Source organism: Homo sapiens, chromosome X (assembly GCF_000001405.40).
Source record: "Homo sapiens chromosome X, GRCh38.p14 Primary Assembly".
NCBI lineage: Eukaryota > Metazoa > Chordata > Mammalia > Primates > Hominidae > Homo > Homo sapiens.
In genome coordinates this window covers 13,604,157-13,627,984 of record NC_000023.11, presented here as the reverse complement: position 1 = coordinate 13,627,984, position 23,828 = coordinate 13,604,157, and the positions used below count along the sequence as shown (strand labels likewise).

General features: G+C 41.1%; 1 protein-coding gene across 2 annotated transcripts in view, besides 2 other annotated features; it reads right to left on the bottom strand.

Moving 5' to 3' along the window:
- EGFL6 (EGF like domain multiple 6) overlaps positions 1–23,828 on the bottom strand; it is a 63,975-nt gene that overhangs the window by 5,591 nt on the left and 34,556 nt on the right. Inside the window, exons 6-11 of one of the 2 annotated variants that reach the window (NM_001167890.2) lie at positions 21,472–21,606; positions 19,539–19,661; positions 9,932–10,255; positions 8,742–8,822; positions 4,060–4,164; positions 709–974 (exon numbers count right to left, since the gene is read on the bottom strand). In NM_001167890.2, coding sequence (NP_001161362.1) covers positions 709–974; positions 4,060–4,164; positions 8,742–8,822; positions 9,932–10,255; positions 19,539–19,661; positions 21,472–21,606 — 1,034 coding nt within the window. The remainder of the gene's footprint in view (positions 1–708; positions 975–4,059; positions 4,165–8,741; positions 8,823–9,931; positions 10,256–19,538; positions 19,662–21,471; positions 21,607–23,828) is intronic. The other variant, NM_015507.4, reaches the window with a different exon arrangement.
- Positions 7,317–7,835: an enhancer, noted in NCBI's record as "NANOG hESC enhancer chrX:13638269-13638787 (GRCh37/hg19 assembly coordinates)". NCBI's record gives its function as "activates a minimal SCP1, AML or CMV promoter by ChIP-STARR-seq in naive H9 embryonic stem cells {active_cell/tissue: H9 hESC(naive)}" and the evidence as "EXISTENCE:reporter gene assay evidence [ECO:0000049][PMID:30033119]".
- Positions 15,438–15,990: an enhancer, noted in NCBI's record as "NANOG-H3K27ac-H3K4me1 hESC enhancer chrX:13630114-13630666 (GRCh37/hg19 assembly coordinates)". NCBI's record gives its function as "activates a minimal SCP1, AML or CMV promoter by ChIP-STARR-seq in naive H9 embryonic stem cells {active_cell/tissue: H9 hESC(naive)}" and the evidence as "EXISTENCE:reporter gene assay evidence [ECO:0000049][PMID:30033119]".

The following is a 23,828-nucleotide window of genomic DNA, read 5'->3' as shown; positions in this document are numbered from 1 at the left end:
CTGACCCCCAACAAAAACCTTGGACATGAAAGTTTGGGTGAGCTTCCCTGGTGGGCAATACTTTGTAAGTGTCATCATGCTTGGTTGCTGGGAGAATTAATAGCTGCCCATATGACTCTACTGGGAGACAAAAACTGCAAGCCTCTGCCTGGTCTCTCCTGGATTCTGCCCTACGTGTCTTTTCCCTCTACTGATTTTAATCTATACAAACTGTACTTGTGAATATAACAGCTTTTCTGACTTCTGTGTGAGTCCTTTTACGGAATCACTGAACCTAAGGGTGGTCCTGGGGACACTGACAATAGCCACTCTCTCAGTTCCGTTTAAAAAAATATTTAAAAGAAATCACCTTCTAGCTGCCATTAATTGTAGTAAGTTCTGGGCATAGAATGAATGAGCATGACATTCTTTTACATACTACGGAATGTATAGCATGTATAGCCTGATTTGGAAGGACGCTGGTGAGAGGAGCCTGACAAACAGGTTATTTCCATAGAACGTGATATGCATACGCCAGATAAGTATCCATGAGTTGTGCCGATTAATCACCTTGCCTATTCAGCTCCAGAACGTATTCTTTAAGTGTAGGGAAAAAGTCTTATCGTTGTATCCTTAATGCCTACATACTTCAGTAAATGTTTTGTTTCATTTGTTAAATCATTGCAAAAGAATGCAAATATTGAGTTTAATCATTTTTTTCCCACTTACGCTTTTGGTAGCATCAGTTCCTTGATACAACTGAATTTTCCCTGTCTTCCACTTTTCATCCTCACTCGTGGTCTTCTCCCATGCCAGGGCATTGTTACTGTTTTTCACAAACACTCGAAGTTTCCCGACTTTGTCTCCGGCCAGCCGGTAATCAAAGAGCAAACAGAAGTTGCTTTGGGGTTGCAGGTCAGGTAGGAGAAGTTTCAATCGGCCAATGTCTTTCTTGTGACCTGCCAAGGCCGGAACTGCCATATAGAAGCCAATAGCTTTAAGAGAAGGGAAAAAATGCACAATTAATGAGGCAATTGTAAGGAGTTTGGCTTTAATGTATAAAAAAAGCTATAAAAAGTAAACAATAGTCTCCTATAGGGAAAGCTGAAGTCCTTTTCATTTTGAACATAGGAATAAAAGTTTCATGCTAAAATGGATTTTAGGGATCACACAATTGAAATCTTTTGTTATATAGACAAATTGATGGTCAGAGAAACCGAGGAATTTTTTGCATACACAAAGCATACACAAAGATATGGGGTAAGAATCTAATTAAATGATCCTTTAGCACTGCAGGTAATCTGCAGTTGATGGAGAACTTGTGTTCCATAATTTCATTTCCATTTTGGTGACTTGAAACTTAGAATGCACTTCCCCACTGAGTCAATGACATGTAAGATGATCAGCTCCTTAAATGGGTCCAGAGTGTGGTGTTTAATCCAAAACACACCTGCACCTGTACTAGTGGTTTCATGGAGCTCAACTACCATGTGTAACATATCACTCCAATTTCTGATTTAGGATGACAGGAACACTCTCCTTCAAATCCTGCAAATCTTCTAAGTATCTTTTAACCTGTGGTGTAGTGGACTTTTGCTCATATCCAATCTTCGGGTTGTGGCTTTGATGAACTTGGGCAAAAACTCTCAAAGAGTAGGGTCTGAAGAAGTTGATAAGAAGGAAAAATTTCTATAGAAGCCAGGAAGAAGACATTGGGGAATGGGTCGTCTTCTGCTACTGCAAGTCGGAGATACTTGCAGGACCCAGGCTGACATTGCCTTAGTTTTCAATGCATCCAGAATCTGGTCTTCTTCCCCAGCTAGTAGGGTATCCAGATTTAGCAAATAAAAATATAGGATGCCCAGTGGAGTTTGAATTTCAGATAAAGTACATGTCCAAGACATACTAAAAAGTATTAATTGCCTGTCTGAAATATAGCCATCCTATATTTCATCTGGCATCTCTTTCAGCTACGCTTTCTGTCACCTACTGTGGAAGGTTTCCCTTTCTCTCCCAGATAAAGTCCGCTTTGAGCTGTCTTTGTGGTTTTATCCCTTTAATAATGCTAACTCATTCATGTCTCTTTTCTTTTTTTCTTTTTCTTTTTTTTTTTTTTTTTTGAGGCAGGGTCTCACTCTGTCACCCAGGCTGGAGTGCAGGGGTGCCATCATAGCTCATTATAGCCTCAAATGCCTGGGCCCAAGTGATCCTTCCACTTCAGCCTCCTGAATAGCTGGGATCACAGGTGTATGCCGCCACACCTGGCTAATTTTTTTCTTTTTCATTTTTTTGTGTTTTATTTTTTATTTATTTATTTTCTTGGAGATGGAGTCTTGTTCTGTCGCCCAGGCTGGAGTGCAATAGTGCGATCTCAGCTCACTGCAACCTCCGCCTCCCGGGTTCAAGCGATTCTCCTGCCTCAGCCTCCCAAGTAGCTGGGATTACAGGCACACACCACCACGCCCGGCTAATTTTTGTATATTTAGTAGAGACAGGGTTTCACCATGTTAGCCAGGCTGGTCTTGAACTCCTGACCTCAGGTAATCCACCTGCCTCGGCTTCCCAAAGTGCTCCCAAAGTGCTGGGATTACATACATGAGCCACCGCACCCAGCCTATTTTTTTTCAATTTTTTGTAGCGATGGGATCCCCCAGTGTTGCCCAGGCTGGTCTCAAACTCCTGGGCTCAAGTAATCCTCCCGCCTTGGCCATGTTTATTTTTCATATTTAGCTGTACAGAGGGAATGAAAAGCTCACCTAGAAATCCAATGGAGGTGCAGGAGGAGCAGGGGTATGATTTGAATGATGCAGAAGCTGAGAACCCTGGGGTTATTTGTGAATTGAGTGTTTGTAAATAGGGAACTTCCCTTGGACAGAAGACTCAACTTAAGACTTAACATAACCTTATATCAGCTGTGGAGGTCCTGGAATAACCTATGGGCTCCCAATATGATATAGCTCTGGTAGACATAAATTTAGAGATGCCATTATGGAAGAAAAGAGAAACTCAGGTTAGTTATCAACAAGATAGCTTTTCCAATGATATGATGTTTTCAGCCTGGTTAAATTTGCCCTTTGCTTACACTGAATCTTTAGTAAAAGTCCCATTCACACAACTGCTGTGTGAGATGTAACCCCTCTCCCCTAACCCCAAGTTCAAAAAGGAATTCTTGTTAGGGGATATCTAGGTTTTCTGATTGCATGTGAGGGCATGAAAGGAAAGATGTTGGAGAGGAATTGGTCTAGAGGAAGGATCTAAAAGAAAGATCTTTTAACTGAGGGCTGAGCCTATACATCCCCAAAGAAATAATTTGATTGATAAGTAACTGGAGTCCCTGAAGGTGTAACAGTTGACTTTAATTATATAGTCAGTCTTCAGGAGACAGAGATTCAATTTGTGCTCTAAATGGGATCTGCAAGACAAACACTAAGGGGATAGTTAGGGTCCGTCAATAGTGTTTAAGTAGGCAATGGGAAGGGTGGGAAATCCGCAGCTCACAGATAAGATTGAGAAAAATTCAAGGACAGGTGGCTCGAAAGAAATCCTCAAGCAACAAACAGAAGGGAAAGCTCAGTTCAGGAGTTCAGGTCATTGACTTGATGTTCATTATGGTTTTCATGCTTTGAGGGGCCACTCTACTAAAACACCAGGTTTAGGTGGAGGTTATATTTCCTTTCAAGATTTATTTCCCCCATGAAAACAAAACAAAAAACAAAAACTACAAGATGCCATGGCTGGTAAACTGGGAAGAAGAAACCATTTCTTTCTACCTTTTCCCTAACTCTCCCAAACTTTATACAAATCTCAACATCTCTCCCTCAGCAGCAGGAGAGTGAATATGGAAGAGGTTTTCTCCCATATCCTTTGTGGTGGCAGGTGTGTGGGAGAGGGATTAAGTAGGAGAATATATGCTGGACCAAGTTAGTCATCTATCAAGGGAGAGCTCAGAAGGTCTAAAAGTTTCCAAAAATGACAAACAACCCTGCTCTGATGAGTAATGGGAATAACAACCCATCACTCATGGAGGGCTTTCTATCCCTTCACCATATTGCAGAACATGAAACTGTCAAATATAAATACCATTATCTCGATCAGCAGGATTCCAGTCAAAATCATCTTCTCTATCCTGTTTCCAGTCACAGATCCCATGATTGAAGCTGCAGTCAACCGAGATATTTAAATCTGCTAAAAAGAAAGAACATATTTCATAACCCCTAAAAGCATTAGGAAGGTGTCTAACATTTGGGGCTTTGGAAGGCAATACCTTGTTTTCAGTCGCACAGAGTACAGATCATGACATACCCTGTTTTGAGTTATGTCTGTGAAGCCATTCTGAACAAATTCAGTTGTGATCTTAAAAAAACAAAAAGCTTTGGGAGGCTGAGGTAGGCAGATCACGAGGTCAGGAGTTCAAGACCAGCCTGGCCAACATGGTGAAACTCCGTCTCTACTAAAAATACAAAAATTAGCTGGGCATGGTGGCAGACACCTGTAATCCCAGCTACTCGGGAGGCTGAGGCAGGAGAATCACCCAGGAGGTGGAGGTTGCAGTGAGCCAAGATCACATCATTGCACTCCAGCCTGGGTGACAGGGTGAGACTCTGTCTCAAAAAAAAAAAAAAAAAAAACCCAAAATAAAACAAAAACCCTTTTTTAAAAAAAAAAAAAATTAGTAATGGGCGAGAACCCCATGCACAAAGAGAAACAGAATATAAGCAATTGTTTATCGAATTCAGGCCAGAAAATAAAATATCTCCTACCCAAATAAACCAGTGAAGACCTTGCCGGAACTTTCTACTTTCTTTTTCTTTTTTTTTGAGACAGGTTCTTGCTCTGTCACTCAGGCTGGAGTGTAGTGGCACAAACACAGCTCACTACAGCCTCTACCTCCTAGGCTCAAGTGATCCTCCCACTTCAGCTTCCCGAGTAGCTGGGACTATGGACACATGCTACCATGCCAGCTAATTTTTAAATTTTTTTTTTGTACAGATGGGGGTCTCATTGTGTTGCCCAGGCTGGTCTTGAACTCCTGGGCTCAAACGATCCACCTGCCTTGGCCTCCCAAAATGCTGGTATTCCAGGTGTGAGCCACCGTGCCTGGCCTCTAAACTGTTAATGACTGCCTTGTTTAGATGTGTCAGAGAAATATAAGAGTTCATTCAGCTAGTTTTAAGTTTTGAACCAGTGCCTGTGGTTACTTTTATGTAGATCCTGGCCCACTGTCTGTTTTATAAAGTTTTATTGAAACACACTATGCCCATTCATTCACATAACATCAATGACTGCATCTGAGCTACAATGACGGAGTTGAATAGTTGTGAAAGTAGTTTATGGCCTACAAAGCTTAAAATATGTACTATCTAGCCCTTTATAGAAAAAAGTTGGCTGACCTCTGATGTAGATAAATACCACTGGGAAAGGGCGGGGGTGAAGAATGAGATATTTTTTATTTATAACTAAGGCTAGCCTCTGGCTCTGATTTTGGGGCTTTATATGTTTTAATGCTGGGGAAGAAAGGAATGGTAAGGAAAGGGAATAGGGTAAAAAGAAACACAGCAGCAGCTGATTCTTGACTCATTTTGATTTGCCAAATATTTTATATCATTTGATTAGGTTGTTTAAAAAAACGTCTAGCATCAGACTCATTTTCAGGAAACTAAAACTAAGGCTCAAGTTCTGCTGACACTGAATGCTGGAGTTGGACCTGAATCCCAAATCAGACTGCAATCCAGGACCTTCCATCTTGCACATATCCTAAGTGAGCACATACGGTCCCTTTCCTCACTTTCCTTTCTTCTTAACTCCCTATTTTTTCTCTGTGCAGCAAATATATTTTCTTTCTAGTCCCAGTTTTAAAAGTAAAAGATGCCAGGTAATACTGGCTTCCAGTCTTCAGTATTCTTCAATGAGTGCTAATACTAGTTAGATAGTTGATGTTATTATCCCACAAATAGTGGAATATCAGCTTTTCAGTTGGTTTACAATTGTGGTGGAATGTTTCTCCCAAACTCTTCCCCTTCCTCCACATGGGGAAAGCGAGTGTGTAAATTGGGATGATGGAATAGTATATAGCAAACTATTCCATACAGAGATAAAACTCAAGGCTTTGGTCTCACAGGCACATTCTTTCATTTGTATAGCACTTCATGGTTTGGAAAGTGCTTTCACATATATTCTCTGGTTTAATCCACACCTGCCTTGAAGCAGATGCTCTTGGTGCCACACAAATATCTGTCAGTACTTATATTCTCTTGCAGGCATTTGGCTTTCTACTGGAAACACTCACAGCTCTCTGTGTGAGGGTGTTCTCTGGCTGGAGCATTCTTGGCCCAACCAGGTGAGCTAGAATGCTGGGAAGTTATTTTCCCAGGGACAGCCCTCAACCAGTGATGGACAGGAGTTGTTGGATAGATACCTCCATTTCCTTGCCTTTGGAAAGGACCACTAAGTGCTGGAATTGAATGTGGACTAAAGTCAGTTTGGAATTCAGGCTTCCCCTGTCTTGTCGAGGGTCCAAGTGGGATTGAGATCAAGTTGCCCCAGTGGTGCCCTTCCTTGCTTTCATGCCAGGCCAGGAGCACCAAGGAATCAGCACCCTCCTGGGAGCAGCCTTCAATCAATGCCAGATGGGAGTTGGTATATATATGCCCCAGCCTCCTTACTCCTTCAGTAGGATAATTATGAGCCATGTGTTCTACACTGGCTTCTGGAGTTCCCCAATGGGATTGAGCTCCAGTTGCCCACAGTGGAAACTTGCCTGATAACATACCCATTATTGCCTCCTTGTCTCCCCATCTCACTTATGCACACCCCCAACCACCATTTCCTGGGATCATCTTCCACATAAACCACTTGCACACAAATTCTTATCTTGGGGTCTATTTCTGGGGAACCCAGCCTAAGACAGCACCTAAGAGATGAATATTGCTCTTATTCCAATTTTATGTATGAAAGCAAGGAGGCACTGCAAATCCAAGTGACTTGTCCAAGGCAAACAACCAGTGGAAGAGTTGCAGTATGCATCTGAATCTTCTGATTGGGACTGAGCTTTCCAAGACAACTTACTCAAGGACTGTTGAAATTACAGGGTCATATGGTCATGTGCAAAATTTTAACCTTTCTGTGTTTCATTAGGAATCATGGAATAGAAAGTAAACTAAGAAATCTGGTGGTTTGGGGATCGAAAGAGGAGTCAACGGATTCCTTCATGTCACTTATCAAGGGTAGACAGAGCTTGGGCAGAACTTGTGAGCACCTGGAGAACGTAGCTTACCCCCTGTACAATGAAACATTTTCTTTCTAACCAGGAAAATGGGCAATAAGTTGTCTAATGCAGAGAAACAAAAACATAGAATACTTAGGAGAAATATGGAAGAAAACAAAATGCCTGTAGGAGTTGGGTCATAGGTTACTAGGCTTTGAAGAGTTTTAGTAGAAGCTTCTCAGATACAATTTGGAGGACTGAATTAGAGAGGTACATTTTTTTTTGCGGTAGAGATGGTCCTGTAAACCAAAGTGATAGAACTGGGCAATGCACTCACAGGGTAAACACAAAAGGGAATCAATTAGCACAAGGTTATGCTAATCTTTTACTTACCACATGTATAGTGGTAAGTAAAAGGAAGTTTGAAAAGGAAAAGGTTATGCTAATCTTTTACTTACCACATGTATAGTGGTAAGTGAAAGAAACTTTGAAAAGGAAAGAGATGATCAAGGCATTCATACTTATACCAAGTGAAAGGGATAAATATATAAATGGGCTTTTCCCTGAGGTCTGTGTAATTTGTCATGAGTGGTGAACGTTCTAAATAAACCAAGAGGAATTAGGGATCATGCCTAAGAAACTCCAGATTATGAGGCTTTGGTGGAATGATCGCAAAAATGGTCCTGATTTTTATCCCTCTCTGTATCCACACTCTTTGTATGACTTCACAGCTCCTTCCACAACCTTGAAGTCTACGCTGGCCTTGTGACTTGGCTTGGCCAATGGAATATGGCAGAAGTGATGTTGTGCCATTTCTGGGCCTAGACCTCAAAATATCTTGTGTGCTGCTGCTCTCTTTCCTGAAACCCTGCTGTTGCCTCATGAGAAACAGCTTGGACTAGCCTGCTGGAGGATGAGAGACCACATGGAGCAGAGCTGAGTGAGTCCAATCCTCCCAACTGAGGCCTCAGGCATGTAAGAAAGCACAGCCAAGATCAGCAACATCACGAAGCAGGCCCACAACTGACTGTATGTGGACACATGAGTGAGCCCACCCAGCCTAGCTCAGGGCAGCAGAACCGTCCAGCCAACCCATAGACTCATAAGCAAAAATAAATATTTATTGCTGTAGGCCACTGAGGGCTTGTGGTTGTTTGTTACACAGCATTATTATGGCAATAGGTAACTGATACAGGCACTTTGGGCCAAATTTAGTACATGAGGACTTTCAGGTTGTGGGTCCTCAGGCAGTAGAGTTGAAGAAAATATGTAAGTTTCTCCCATCTCCATATATACAGTCTGCTTCAACCATTCACTCTCAGCATCAGGTGGGAGTGGCGGGGAGAAGAGAATAGCCTTACTATATTTCAATCATTAGTACCAGTCACACAAGGACCTACTATTTTAATACTGGCACTGTGTGTGTGATGTAATGATTTTTCCCTTGGGGGTTTACGAATGAAGCAGGGATTCATAAACAATCATTTCACTGTATGAAGAAATGAAAACGACCAGGACAACATGAAAGAGCATACACTTGGGAGAAAGAATTATTTACCTTTATGTTCCAGTTTGGAAGTTAGCGCTTTCCTTTGGACCAGAATCAGGCCGAATTCACCTGCTTCATTCACCTTAGGGACTAATAAAGAACACTTGGTCAGTTAAGAAAAAAACCTTAAAGCCCACATGCTCAGAAGGTATCAATCAAATGACCAAACAAAGAAGGTTAGATCATGTATTCTAATTACAGAATATATTAGAGCAGTGTTTCCCTAACATTTCCAAATAATTCACATTGGATCCAGTTTCCTCATCTAAAACATCTTTTCCAGACATTTCCTTGGGTAAACTAAGCATCTACACTCTTGATACATCCCTTCATACTAGGTTTTGGAAATATGTTTTTTTTTTTCTTTTTTTGAGATTTTTCACTCTCTATTAAGGCAGAGAATGTCACCGGATGCTAGTTCTTGGACGGGTGGGCCTGTGTCTACTTTTCCTTTGGTTAAATCCATCTGGCATTTGTATATATGACCACCAGTCACAGAGCCGAGACTAGATAAGGCAAAATATAGAGGGAGCAACAAATGCCCAGCCAGAATGAATGGGAAAGTCTCAGTGTAGAGATGCAGGGTGGGTTAATATGGAAACCCTCCTGGGGGGACTGAGCCTTATGGTGGGTTCTGCACAGCAACTAGTGAAAAGGGAGTTACGGCAGTTCTCTAGTTCACATAGAAAACTTAAGCTCCACTATAAAATTTGTCCTCCTACATTTGTCGATTTTGGCTTTTAAAATCACAACCATACAACTGTGAGGTTCCATTTTCATAGACTAGGCCTGTAAAAGTGCCTTCAAGAAATAAAAAGGTAGAGCTTAGCAGATCCATGTGGTGAGCCTCTCTTTGATTTGGGGGCATGCCTCATGGAGAGCTGGGCAGCCAAACCACTGCCCTTGCAGGACTAGCAGGCTTCCTTGGCTGGAAGCTAGAAGAGAAGGTCTGTGTCAAATAGGAAACCCCCCAAGTAGGGGAACAGGACTTCCCCTCCTTGGTTCCTAGAGCAGCAGGTTTGATTGGGTATTTGCAGAAGGTATTCGTTTCTAGACATTACAGAGAATGTTGCTTCTCAGGACTTAAGACCCAACCCATTTTACTTAAGCTGTGAAACCGGCTTTTTGTCTTCTTTCATTTGCCAGGAGAAATTGCAATTCATTTTTCATAAAACATATAAAATAAAAATAACACTCACAAAACACATCTCCTCGCAGGCTTCGCTCCTCTATGTCATTCTTCAGGGCTTTCTCTTCTCTTTTCTCATCCTCAAGCCCCTCTTTCATTTTCTCTTCATTCCCTTTTTTACCTCCATGAGAGTTCCCGCCTCTGGAAACTATCTCTTCATAGTTGAAGGGCTGCAAGTTCACCTTAGGGGTAGGAGTCCTGGTGGGTTCTGGGGTAACATTTTTAATTTTTGCCTTCTTTTTCATGCTGTTTTTGTGAGCAAGCAACTTCTTGATTCTGTCTTTGATGGTACCAGGTGCTCTGAGGACTTCCTTCACAGAATTTTCAGGGATAGCTAAAACAAATAAGAGGCAATATGTTCCAAATTGGAAGATAATTAAATTACTCACAAAATGGAGCATTTAAAAAGTGTTAAAGTGTAGTAAGTGAATGCTTCCAGAATGAACCCACATGAGGCTCTACTATTTGATGATAAATTAGGAAGAACTATATTTGTATTGTTTTAAGCAGTTCCACTGTTATGGTAGTTATCTTAATTACCTTTTGTTGCTTTTGTTTTGCTTCGGAGACCACTTTAGTGAAACACTTATTACTACCCAGTTGGGCTACAGATCCCAAAGACATGGATTTGCCATGTTCGTCTAATATTTCTGCTTTCATTGTGGTATTCTTCAAAAACTGGTATTGTCCTGATAGCCCTATAGATTTGTCCAAATTTGATATTCAAAAATTACAGCTACAGCATTAGGTTGAACCATATAAATTGCTAATAATGGACCATTTGTGACCTACAAAAATGGTGACTTATGGTGCAATATACACATACCCAATTTTCTTTCTCTCTTCTCTCTCCCCTTTGAATTTTTTCACCTCAGTCAACCATTATCTAAAGCTAAATGAGTTTATTTATTAAATATTTCAGAGAGGCTTCTATACTTACTATTTTTCATTCGTTTTCTATTTCCCACCACAAAAGTAAATTACTTTAAAAATGTACCTCTAGTCTCTCTACTAAAAATACAAAAAATTAGCCGGGCGCGGTGGCGGGCGCCTGTAGTCCCAGCTACTCGGGAGGCTGAGGCAGGAGAATGGCGTGAACCCGGGAAGCGGAGCTTGCAGTGAGCCGAGATTGCGCCACTGCAGTCCGCAGTCCGGCCTGGGCGACAGAGCGAGACTCCGTCTCAAAAAAAAAAAAAAAAAAAAATGTACCTCTAGATCAATTCTTCTTATCCCTCAGTGGACTAATGACCCTTGGAGGAAAAATGTTGGTGTCGAAGAACGCAAGAGGTACAAAAAAGTTCATTTAGTCCAGGACTCTTGTCTTGTCGATGAGGCAACTGGGTGTTAAGTGACTTGCCCAAAGGCACTCATCATGTTAGGGACGGAGCTAAGATTTGGCAGTAGAGCATATGAATGACTATTTTTCTTTTCTTTTCTTTCTTTTTTTTTTTTTGAGACAGAGTTTCACTCTTGTCACCCAGGCTGGAGTGCAGTGGCATGATCTCGGCTCACTGCAACCTCCCCCTCCTGGGTTGCAGTGATTCTCCTGCGTCAGCCTCCCCAGTATCTGGGATCACAGGTGCGTGCCACCACACCTGGCTAATTTTTGTATTTTTAGTAGAGACGGGGTTTCGCCATGTTGGCCAGGCTAGTCTCGAACCCCTGACCTCGGGTGATCCACCCACCTCGGCCTCCCAAAGTGTTGGGATTACAGGTGTGAGCCACCATGCCTGGCCATGAATGTCTCTTTTTTCCAGTCCTATTTCTATGATAGATTTATTTCTGCTTTAAGATTAAGGTTACTTTTCTCTAGACTGTTTCAAATTCCTTGAGATCTATAATTCAAAGATATATGTCTCCTTTTCAGGGATATACTCATGATAATTCAGAATATCCAACTGATGTAAAGAAGTAATTAATTTTTAAAAAATTAAATACACTGATATTTGAAATCAAATATATTGTCTCACTATAAAATATCTAGGCATGTACTAATCTAAGACTAAGCAAGAAAGGGTCTAATAACACCTCAATCAATTCACTTAATTCTATTATTTGGACATAGTTTAGAGAGAAGTGAAACAATGGAGTAGACATTAATTTTGATGCCTAAAAAGAGTACTATAAAAAATTGGAGTGGGATTTTATTAGAATATTTTTCTTAACAATGTTTTAACCTCTTCTCCTGCTTTGTTCCTTCTCCATCATTTGGCTGATTCAATCTATATCAAAGTAGTAGAAAAATAAACAAGCAGAAGTCCACAATATTTGGGGTAACCAAACGGGGGAAAAATGCTTTGAAAATATGTATGCTCTTAATTAATAATTGCTTTTACTTTGGAATCAAAAGAGCAACATTTTTCTTTTCAATGAAATATTCTAGTTATTTATCATTGTGACAGCCTGACTATAGGTAGAAAACCAACAAGCACTAATACAAGTAATGCATCATTACTCATTTTCCTGACCTTCAGATAGCCTGTTTCAGCTACTTTGCCAGAGATTGCATGTTAAGTTATGACCGTAATGTGTGATCATATATAGACCTTCCTCTGGAGGCCCCACTGTAATTCCATCCATGGTCGACTGCATCTTTCTCCAGCACCTGGCAAGAAAAATTAACAGGAAACCCCTATTCCCTGCAAATTTCCTTTTTGCAATCAGTAACATAAAACTAAAGACCTTTAATAAATAATGAGGAAAGGGTTTCAGCTCACACCAGGCAAACCTAAACATCTGCTTTCAGTTTCTGCTTTGAAGTTTCAAATGTTCCTATTGAAAAGAAACAAAAACTAAAACATCATAATCTTGATAGTGTTGACAATTTCATTCTCTTAGTATGTAAACAGAAAGCTGGGCAAGGATAAAAATGCACTTTAATGATATGCATATGCATAAGTAGATTTGGATTTATCTAGGTATTGCTGTTTCAAATTTGACATTATGACGGTTTTCTCTTAAAGATTTATTGATTATTGCATCATCTTTTTGAGAATATAAAAATGTGGGAGGGGCCAGGCATGGTGGCTCACGCCTGTAATCCCAGCACTTTGGGAGGCCAAGGCAGGCGGATCACTTGAGGTCAGGTGTTTGAGACCAGCCTGGCCAACATACATCGTGAAACACCGTCTCTACTAAAAATACAAAAATTAGCTGGGAGTGGTGGCAGGTGCCTGTAATCCCAGCTACTCAGGAGGCTGAGGCAGGAGAATTGCTTGAACCCAGGAAGCAGAGGTTGCAGTGAGCTGAGATCATGCCACTACTCTCCAGCCTAGGCAACAGAGTGAGACTCCATGTCAAAAAAAAAAAAAAAATATGGAGGGAGTTGCAGTAGGAGGGTCTTTGGCACATTTGGGGAACTCAGATATAAAACTTAGGTCTTCAGGTTCACAGGCCAGTTTTTTGTAAAGTTGACAATTTCTCTCGGGAGGTATTTGAGATTTCTCCAAACACCCATGTTGTCAAACACTTCTATCAACCTGAAAACCCTAATTTTAATTTCATATCTTTGGAATAAAACTTTATAGAAGATCACTCTTAGGTGAGAATATCTTACCCAGGAGGAATATGACTTTGACATTCATTCAACTGTGCTTAGTGCATTAGATGATCTATCATCTGGGAGGAGAAAAGTTCTACTAATCTGAGCTTTGGACACAGTCCTGGAAGAAGAAGCTTAATCACAGATGAAGAATGTGTTCCAGCATGGGACCCAGGAAACAGGAAGGGGCTAGGACAGAACAAAAGATGAGCCAAGAGAGTTTGCTGAGGAGGGCAAACTCTGTGAGTTCTCCATCACAGAGGATCAACCAATTGGTCATGAACACACCTGTCCTGTGTTTAAGCACATAATCCTGAAGCCCATTTTCCTGAGTTTGACTCCTAGCTCCCACATCTTCTAGCCATATGTCCTCAAATGAATAATTAACTTCTCTTTGCCTCAGTCTCTCCATTTATAAAATTGGGATAAGAACAGATTTTTTTGGGAGGCTTAAATGGGTGAACACACATCGATTACTAAGATTAGTGCTTGGCACACACTCAGCATGTGTGCTATTATTTTTAGCATTCATGACCAGAATGTTTAAAATCTTTTCCAGAGTTAGAAAAATTCCCAGGCCATACCTCCAAGTTTCTAATGTTTATAATTGAAGAAAAAAAATGGGGATGGCCTGGTTGTAGCAAAACCCATATTCTTGAATACACACCCTACAAACTGAATTAAGCAATCAGCATATTTTTAGTGACTAAAGAAGCTGCTTTTCAACAGAAATGATTGTTGAATTTTGGTAAGGAGGGCTTTGTCACTATTACTCCTACTCCTAGCACATACTTATTGAACATTTCATATATTCTGGGCTGGTGCTAAGCTCTTTAGATGGACGCTCACTTATTCTGTGTGAATAAATTTAATCATCAAAACAATATTAAGGGCTAGATACTATCATCCCTATTTTGCAGGTGTGGAAACTGAGGCACTGAAAGGTTGAATAATTTGTTCTCACTCCACAGGTAGTAGGCTAGCAAGTCAGGAATCAAGCTAAGGTAATACGATTCCAGAAGCTGTGCTCCTCGTAAGCCAATGACAGTTTCCTTTCCTAAGTTGACTGTTACTCCCCAAATTGAGTGTTATCTGGGTTTTGATTTTCTTAGAATGAGGTGTAGCTGCTGTCAAATCAAGACCAAATTATCTGGCAGTATACTATTAATACTCATATTAGAACAGTGGAACATATACACATCTACATTTAGGGTGCTTCTTCCTTTAGGTACAGAGAATGGGTTAGGATAATCTAACTCTTTTTCCATATTGCAATGTAGAGTCTGAAATTTTCAAAACAATGAACTTAATAAAAGTTGCTACATCAATGCCATATATATGACATATATATATATATATATATATGTATATATTTATGGAGATGAAGTCTCGCTCGGTCGCCCAGGCTGGAGTGTAGTGGTACGATCTCAGCTCACTGCAATCTCTGCCTCCTGGCTTCAAGCAATTCTCCTACCTCAGCCTCCCGAGTAGCTGGGACTACAGGCGCACACCACCATGCCTGGCTAATTTTTTGTATTTTAGTAGAGGCGGGGTTTTACCGTGTTGCCCAGGCTGGTCTTGCACCCCTGAGCTCAGGCAATCCACCCGCCTCGGCCTTCCAAAGTGCTAGGATTACAGGCATGAGCTACTGCGCCCGGCCTATGCCCTAGATTATATAATAACAATTTATGTGCATACAAATGTATTTGTAATATAACATTTTATAATGTTTTATAATGCTGAATGCTAACTAGATGCAATTCTCTCATTTTTGTTTTTATGACTCTTGTATGTACATAAGCGTGGATTTTGGCCCGGCTAGCCACCCCGTCCGGGAGGTGGGGGGCAGCCCCCTCCCGGCCAGCCGCCCCGTCTGGGAGGTGGGGGGTGCCTCTGCCCAGCCGCCCCGTCTGGGAAGTGAGGAGCCCCTCTGCCCGGCCGCCACCCCGTCTGGGAGGTGTACCCAACAGCTCATTGAGAACGGGCCATGATGACGATGGCGGTTTTGTCGAATAGAAAAGGGGGAAATGTGGGGAAAAGAAAGAGAGATCAGATTGTTACTGTGTCTGTGTAGAAAGAAGTAGACATAGGAGACTCCATTTTGTTCTGTACTAAGAAAAATTCTTCTGCCTTGGGATGCTGTTAATCTATAACCTTACCCCCAACCCCGTGCTCTCTGAAACATGTGCTGTGTCCACTAAGGGTTAAATGGATTAAGGGCGGTGCAAGATGTGCTTTGTTAAACAGATGCTTGAAGGCAGCATGCTCGTTAAGAGTCATCACCACTCCCTAATCTCAAGTACCCAGGGACACAAACACTGCGGAAGGCCGCAGGGTCCTCTGCCTAGGAAAACCAGAGACCTTTGTTCACATGTTTATCTGCTGACCTTCCCTCCACTATTATCCTATGACCCTGCCAAATCCCCCTCTCCGAGAAACACCCAAGAATGATCAATAAATACTAAAAAAATTTAAAAAAAAAAAGAGTGGATTTTGAGGCATCCTTCTTTAAGCAATGAATGTTAAGACCTTGTTAAGATGAATTTTCAATAGTAACATGGCTGTTTATTTTATGGAGAATTAGAGAATTAAAGCAAAATGAAAAGGGTTGGACAAGTAATATAGTAAATGACCCAAAGATAGTTTTCTCCTTTAAATAAACATTCCAGTGAAAGACTAAAGAAATAATTTAGCTGCAGAATGGATAACAAAATGCATAATTTTCAGATATTGAATAGAACAGTGTGATGAATTTGAGGTTTCAAAGAATAAAGACAAATTTCTTTTATCCCAAAATAAAGTTGGATGGTCCAAGAAAAACAGACATTTTCTTGACACAAGAAATGTTTGTGTTGATGTAGGATTTACAATTTCAAAGCACTGAGTTACAATATAGAAAACACAGGCTGCAAACAACTATCTAATTGCATGCTTAAAGATGTTGCCTTCATTTGAACATTAATAATACATTGCGGTTTAAGGGGATCAAATGACGAGGAAGAAAGATGGCTCCAGGTTTACTCTGGGCCTTCGATTCCCCTCTAGGGGTAGGAGAGTGAGTATGTGGGGGTGAGTTGCCCACTTATTGAAACAAATGCTTTCCTGAGGTGTCTTTTTTTGTATGCACAACATTTTCATATTTACCTTTGTGAAATTTCAGAGTGGGTGGCCCTTAACAAACAGCTGATTGAAATGATACTAATAACAATAACAATCACAGCGAACTTTAATGAGCATCTACTATATGGTCCCGCTAAACTAAGCTCTCTCTCTATATTACCTCATTTAAACCTCACAATGAACCTCTGTGAGACATATTTGTCTTAGTGTGGGTTCCTCTAAGCAGAGCCTGAGACAAGGATTTGGGTGCAGATGACTTACTTGGAAGGTGATTCCAGGAGGCAGAAACTGGGGAGAGGAGACAGTGAGACAGGAAGGGAGAAAAGCCAAAAGATGGTGCTTAGATGGACAGGTAATCTCTGTGGGTAAGTGGGGCTCAGTCCTGCTGGGGACATCTGGGAGCCAGTGCAGAACACACCTCAGAACTGTCCCACCCCGTGAAGTGGAAGCTGGAGACTCCTGTCAGAGAGAGCACTGCTAGAGATACGCATGCAACTGTCTACCCTACCTCAATAGGATTAGGGAGCTCCAAGGGACTGTGGACTGGCCCATTACAAGAACCCACCACAGTACTACCATAAACCCCATTTTGAACAGGAGGAAACTGAGCTTAGAGAGGTTAAGAAATTTGCTAAAGGTCACAGCCAGCATAGGGCAGAGCTAAGATTTAAACTCAGGCCTTCCCAACCTGGAATGTGCATGTTCAAATTTGGTGGCATAAAGGAGCTTTGAGCACAGGTCCCTTGGGCACTCATCCGATATGGAAAGCTGATTTATTCAGTCTCCTCTCTGGGGAACTCCCAAGGTTATGGTGTCCTTCCCCCCAACCTACCTATGCACAGCCCTGCCTGGGCAGCCAATCTCTCTCTCTGAATCAAGTTTCAGAAGGACATCATTGGATACTTCTATCTAGAGGGATAGAAACCATGGCATCCAGTTGCTGGACACTAAGTGGTCATTTAATACCATCTCCAGCCCAATGCAGGAATCCGTCTCAGAGCCCCCAGCCTGCAAGCCAGGGGCAGTGGAATGTCCCTACTCCATGGGGCTCCCTGCTCCACTCTTCAATACCTAGCAGCCATTTTTAAGAGAGAATGTAACCTCCACCCACTGGACTTAGTTTGCTTGAGAAAGCCACTTTTATTTCATATTTCTTAAAGTATTTACAGGCACAATTTATGCTTTTCCATACTATATTTCCCAGACTAAATGCTGCCCTGTTCTTTTGGCAGTTCTTCACAGAATTTGATTTCCAGACTCATTTTCTTTGGTTATATTCTTTTATACATACTCTTGTCCAGTGGTGCTCAACAATAGCCCACTGGGGTACTGTGAACCTTTTATGGGTGTGGCGCTGAATGTCTAGCATGGTACATATAGTTTATTTTTGTATGACTGAGTAGATACTGTTACAGTCATTTGCATCATTGGGAGCATTGGCCAGATGGGTGTATGGAATGTGACGTAAGTTAGGGTACACCTTGCAGCCATATTTATTGAACATGCGGGAACTCTGCTAAGGGGTATATAAGAGAGTTGAATCAGGGCAGTCAACAAGTCTAGTCACACTATGAGCTAGTGCTAAAAGGGTCATGACCAGAGGGATAAACCTGGATGACTTTATTTATTTATTTATTTTTTAATTTTTTGAGATGGAGTCTTACTCTGTTGCCCAGGCTGGAGTGCAGTGGTGCGATCTCGGCTCACTGAAACCTCTGCCTCCCAGGTTCAAGCAATTCTTGTGCCTCAGCCTCCTGAGTAGTTGGGATTAGAGACGTGCACCACCATGCCCGGCTAATTTTTTTGTATTTTTAGTAGGGACAGGGTTTCACGATGTTGGCCAGGCTGGTCTTGAACTCCTGACCTTAGGTGATCTGCCCACCTGGGCCTCCCAAAGTGCTAGGATTACAGGTGTGAGCCGCCACGCCCAGCCGAACCTGGATGACTTTAAACATTGTAAGATATTGTTAGGGAAGTGATTGTGCTGTAATCATAGCTGCCTTGCCTTGGAAGACATTCCTGGTATTCACCAAGATTTCTAGTTTTCTTCTCTTTTGGGACACACAGCAAGTTTAATATTATTTTTGTCCCTTGAAGTTAGATACTTCCAAGCTGAATAAACTAACAGCTGGTGCATGATTGTTCATGCTTCTTTCTCTGCTGTGACAAACCTTAAGGCCTTGAATTGAGACCATGGTACCATAAAATGATGGGGCCTCTGTCAGCCTGTGTCCTTAAGTGATTTTATTGAGAAGAAACCCCTGAAAAATTCTCTTTGGACATATTACATGAGTGAGAAATAAACCTTTATTGTTGCTGTAGTTATTAATAGCAGTGACATTTTATTGTTAGATGTCTGGTTTATAAATTTAAAGTTTTAACAAAAAGTATTAAATAATTCACCAGCAAGAACAATGGAACTCTCTGCTATATACATTAAAACAAGTGGATCCAGCGTTGAGGATGACAGATAAAGTAATCATACTTTAATGAAGATCAGCTTTGCCTTACTTTGTTTTGGTTGTGCATTCTGGAAAACGTCCGGATTCACTTGGTTAAAAAACCTTTGTGGTTTTAAGCCACTGTTATTTTAGGTTTGCTTGTTACTGCATCATAACTCAGTCTATCCTGATAGATAAATTTGCTCAGTGTCTTTTGTCCTTAAATGTTATGTTCAGTATTTGAAGTATGTCATGGCCAGAAAGATATTAAGTACCCTTGCTGTTCTTTAAGTTTAGTGCCTACAACTTCAGTGAGTATTGGAGATGTGGTCCAATTAGCAAAGAAGAGAAGGCTGAGGCAGAGAGTTAAACACTGCACACACACACAGAGTGAGAGTAAGGGAGAGGGAGAAGGCGAGGAAGACAAAGAAAGGAGAGAAATAGAGGGAGGAAGGAGATATGGGGAGAATGCTTCATTGGGAATAGCTAAGACACCATGACCAAATGCTACTTACCAGAACACCGAAGTCCATTGCCTTTATATCCCTGCTTGCATTTACACTTGAAGGACCCTTGGGTATTGAAGCAATTGGCATGGTGGCTGCACGTATGGCTATCCATAGTACATTCATTTATATCTAAAAAAGAACATTCCAGTGAACGACTCTGTGGTACAGAGCTTGCTGAAAGACTCACCCTTACACTTGATCAACTGTAGGGCCAAGCACTAAACACCCCTGACAAACCAAGCATTGCCTGAGAACTGAGAGGTGTTCAGAACTGCAGGCTCATTGGCCAGCAGCCCTGGCTTTGTTTGCTGCCTGGTATGTAGGGAGTGTTTGCTGCTTCCCTCCCCCACAGCAATTTAATCTCCTGCTTATCAATGCTATTGAAATCTGTAAGATGTTTAGGTTTTTCTCTTAACTTTCTCCTCTAACTTAGAACTAAATAACAATACCAGAAAATCAATTCTATATTCAGAAGGTCTTGAAACTCCTAACAAACAAAGGCAAGATCAACTAGGAACCGTTGACATCATCTAACTTATAGGCACAGGCATTTTGTTCTAAGACTGCCAGGAGAAAGGGTCAGGCTGGCCTGAGCTTGTCTGCTGGGTTTAGAGGAGGAAAATTTGCCAAGTTTCACCCAAGCGAGAGGTTTGTTTGCCGTATTCTCCACCCCATTTTCTATCTATGCATTTGTAGACATGTATGTACAAAATAGTCTGTTGGTTTTAATTTAGCCACAAAGCTGAGCTCAGATGTTAATCTTAGTCACCTTTAAAGTCTCAAAGATTTGTTTCCTTTTGAACCTTTCCATGTGAATTCCACCCTGTTCTGTGGAACCTCCCCTTAGGTATCAGGAAACAGGATTAAACTCTGTAACACAGCATCATAGGATTACTGGGCTGGTTTGGTCTGCAGGAGGGCATGGGGTCCAAGTCCACGAGAAATATGGATTTTATGATCCTCTCTAGGATGGACTTTGTGTTTGAAATTTGAGGGAAGAGTTGTAGAGGCTTCACAAGATGGTTCGAAACCCAGCAATTGTGTGTTGTCCCAACATGATTACACAAGACGTGTCCTGGGAAGCCCTGAGTATAGGGTTGAAAGAAATCCTATTTTTTCTCAACTATTAGCCTTCCATGTCATGCATATAGCTTTGTTACACGTGTTACGGGCAGAGAAATCCACAGAGAGCCCGAATTTCCCTTCACTATAGGGCAGGCCCCATCCTACATTATATAAAGGGCAATGGGAATGCATCCAAGGTCTCCCCAAATACCCCACCTCACTTGTTCATGGAGGCCTGAAATTCATTCACTAAGGAATAAAATATTTATTTCACATAGATTAGGGCAATAGCTGACTGATACCAGAATCTTATCAGAGAGCAATTTTGGTAACTGTGGAAAGGGAACATTATATTTGGAGCTTGAACTATGAAAGGGCTGAAAGAGGGGAAAGTAAAGAGCATAGGCCTTCATGTCTCTCATACATTTCTCTAAAGCCACCCCTGATGGAGACTGTTATAAACAGATCACTGAGATCAAGATTAGATAGACCTTGTTATTCTTCCTTTTACCAAATATAAATACTGCTTTATTGTTCTGATTTTTAGATGTGTAACTGGAGATAAAACAAAAAATATAAACAAAACAAAAAGCCAAATTAAAGAGAGTCCCACCAGAATCATCTTGAGATAATCGTTTCCACAAGAGAGCTGTATTCCTTACTTTAAATCTTTATTGACCTAGCTTTATAATTGATGTCATTGGAATTCCCTAAATGCCAGACACCTAAAAAAATAACCTTTCCTTATTGTTAAGCTGGTCAGCACAGTAGATTGTTCAACTAATAGCTTGAATTGACATCAAAATATCTGCAGAGAAGGCTCAAAGGTTTGGTGGGGACAGGAAAAAAAGGAAAAGGTGCCATCGAATCTTACCTATACAGTCATATCGTCCACTGATATATTGCAGTTCGAAACCAATGTGACATTTGCAGTAGTAGCTTCCAAATGTGTTCACACATCTTCGATTGTAGGGACAGATGACTTTACCAGAGGCACATTCATCAATATCTAGGGTGTAAAAACCAGAAGGTGTCAGTGATAGCAAGAAAAGTAGCCACATACATGCACGCACGCACACTCACAGCTACTTTTCTTTATCTGGGAAACTGATAATAGTATACTGGTGCCAACATCATATCCTCTGGCAAGTGTTCTAGATCCCCCAGGCACACACACAGCTCTTCACTTTATGTATTTATATTATTTTATACCTTTTTAAGATGCATTATCTTTCCATAATGTCATTACTTACATTCACATCTTCTGTTAGGCCCTGGCTGTTCTCAGGCAGGGAGCATGTGTCTGACACTTGGTACCTATACATTACGTGTGTGCTGAGTGAATATTTTCTCCAGCTGAGTGAATATTGTATATTGTATAACATATACAATTTTTGAAACTAGAGTCAGATAGCTATACTTTAAGTAAACCAAACACACAGACTTTTACAATTTGCATTTTACAAAATAACTATTTCTTGAGTAAGACTGTCCAAGGCCCCTGCAATATTGACTCACAGAAATGTGGTTGTGAAGGCATGCACTTATGCATAAATTGTGGGTCAGGTGTAATTATGTAATGATGTAATTTTAGCCAACAATAGGTGTGTTGTTCCTTTTCTACCATTGAAAGTCAGGTAACAGAGGGGCTGACAGCTATGCTGACCAATCTACTAAGACTCAGGCTTGGTTTAACTTTCAGATGTCAAATCAAATAGATGTTAGTTTGTTCTTCTGAACCTGGCTTAAACCGGCAAGTTGATGTTGTCTTACTATTTCCCTTGCAATCTTTTTTTTTTTTTTTTTTTTGAGACAAGGCCTGGTCTGTCACCCATGCTGGAGCATAGCAGAACAATCATGGCTCACTACAGCCACAAATTCCCCAGGCTCAAGTGATCCTCCCACCTCAGCCTCCTGAGTAGCTGGGACTACAAAGCATGTGCCACCATGCCTGGCTATTTTTTATTATTTTTTTTTTGTAGAAATGGGGTCTCCCTATGTTGCTCAGGCTGGTCTCAAACTCCTGAGTCCAAGCTATCCTCCCACCTCAGCCTCTAGCATAGCTGGGACTACAGGTGCACATCACCATGCCCGGCTATTTTTAACAAAAGTTTTTTATAGAGATGGAGTCTTGCTATATTGCCCAGGCTGGCCTCTTGCATTTTCCAAATAATAAATAAGTGTTGGGTTGAACAAAATTATTTTTGGTGATCATTTTCATGCACATCACCTTTCCCTTCCAATAAAAATGGCACCCAACAACTCAAAGAGTTGGGTGGAAATTTGGATTCAGTTTGGTCAATAATTAGCCTTGTCATATAAATCTTATTATACTAAAAAGTAGTAAATCCTGTGAACCTAATTAAACCTTTGATTATTCTCAGAGTAGAGACAAAATTTTAATTTACATGTATATTTTTAAAAAGTGTTTAGCTAATTTAGGATCCATTTGGCTGAGCTTTCTAAATGCAGTTTTTTTTACATTATGTATAGTTAGGATAAATAAACATCTAGCACCTTGACTGAAAAATATTTCTATTGTAGTGAAGAAGATTATGAAATCATACTGATATGTGCTTCTTTAAATCACAGATTAAGAACTCTTTCAACATTCTGATTTGGTTTGACATCCCTCATTAATGCTAAGTGCTCACTTACTCTAAATATTATGTATATTAGGTGCAATGTAATTAAGTGTTATGAGTATATACAATTTGATGGCAATTTGATGGTTGAACATAATTCAAATCCACAAAGGAACCAAAGCACAAAGTGAAAAAAGTGTTGCTTCAGTCACTGAGGGTGCCCTGTGGGTGCTCCATCCATAGCTCCTCAGCACTCAAGTTTCCATACCTGCCAAAGGCTGCTTGCTGCACCTACAACATTGTGCTTTGCTCCCGACCCAGGCTAGGCTGGGAGTGCTGGGGGGTCATGTCCCAGAGCAGCCTCCCATCAATGAAGGGCAGAAGTTGGTGGATGAATATCCAGCACTCCTGCCCCAGAGGGAAAATTCAGGGGCAGCTTCTCTCTGCCTCCCAGAGGTGCCCCCAGCTCATTTAACCTGCTCATCAGATTTACCCAACACTGGTGCCTTCCTTTCCCTGGGTTACTTCCCTACTCCTCAACCAGAATCTTACTCATAAGATTCTGGTACCAGTCAGCTATTGCCCTAATCTATGTGAAATAAATATTTTATTCCTTAGTGAATGAATTTCAGGCTGGGATTTCAGG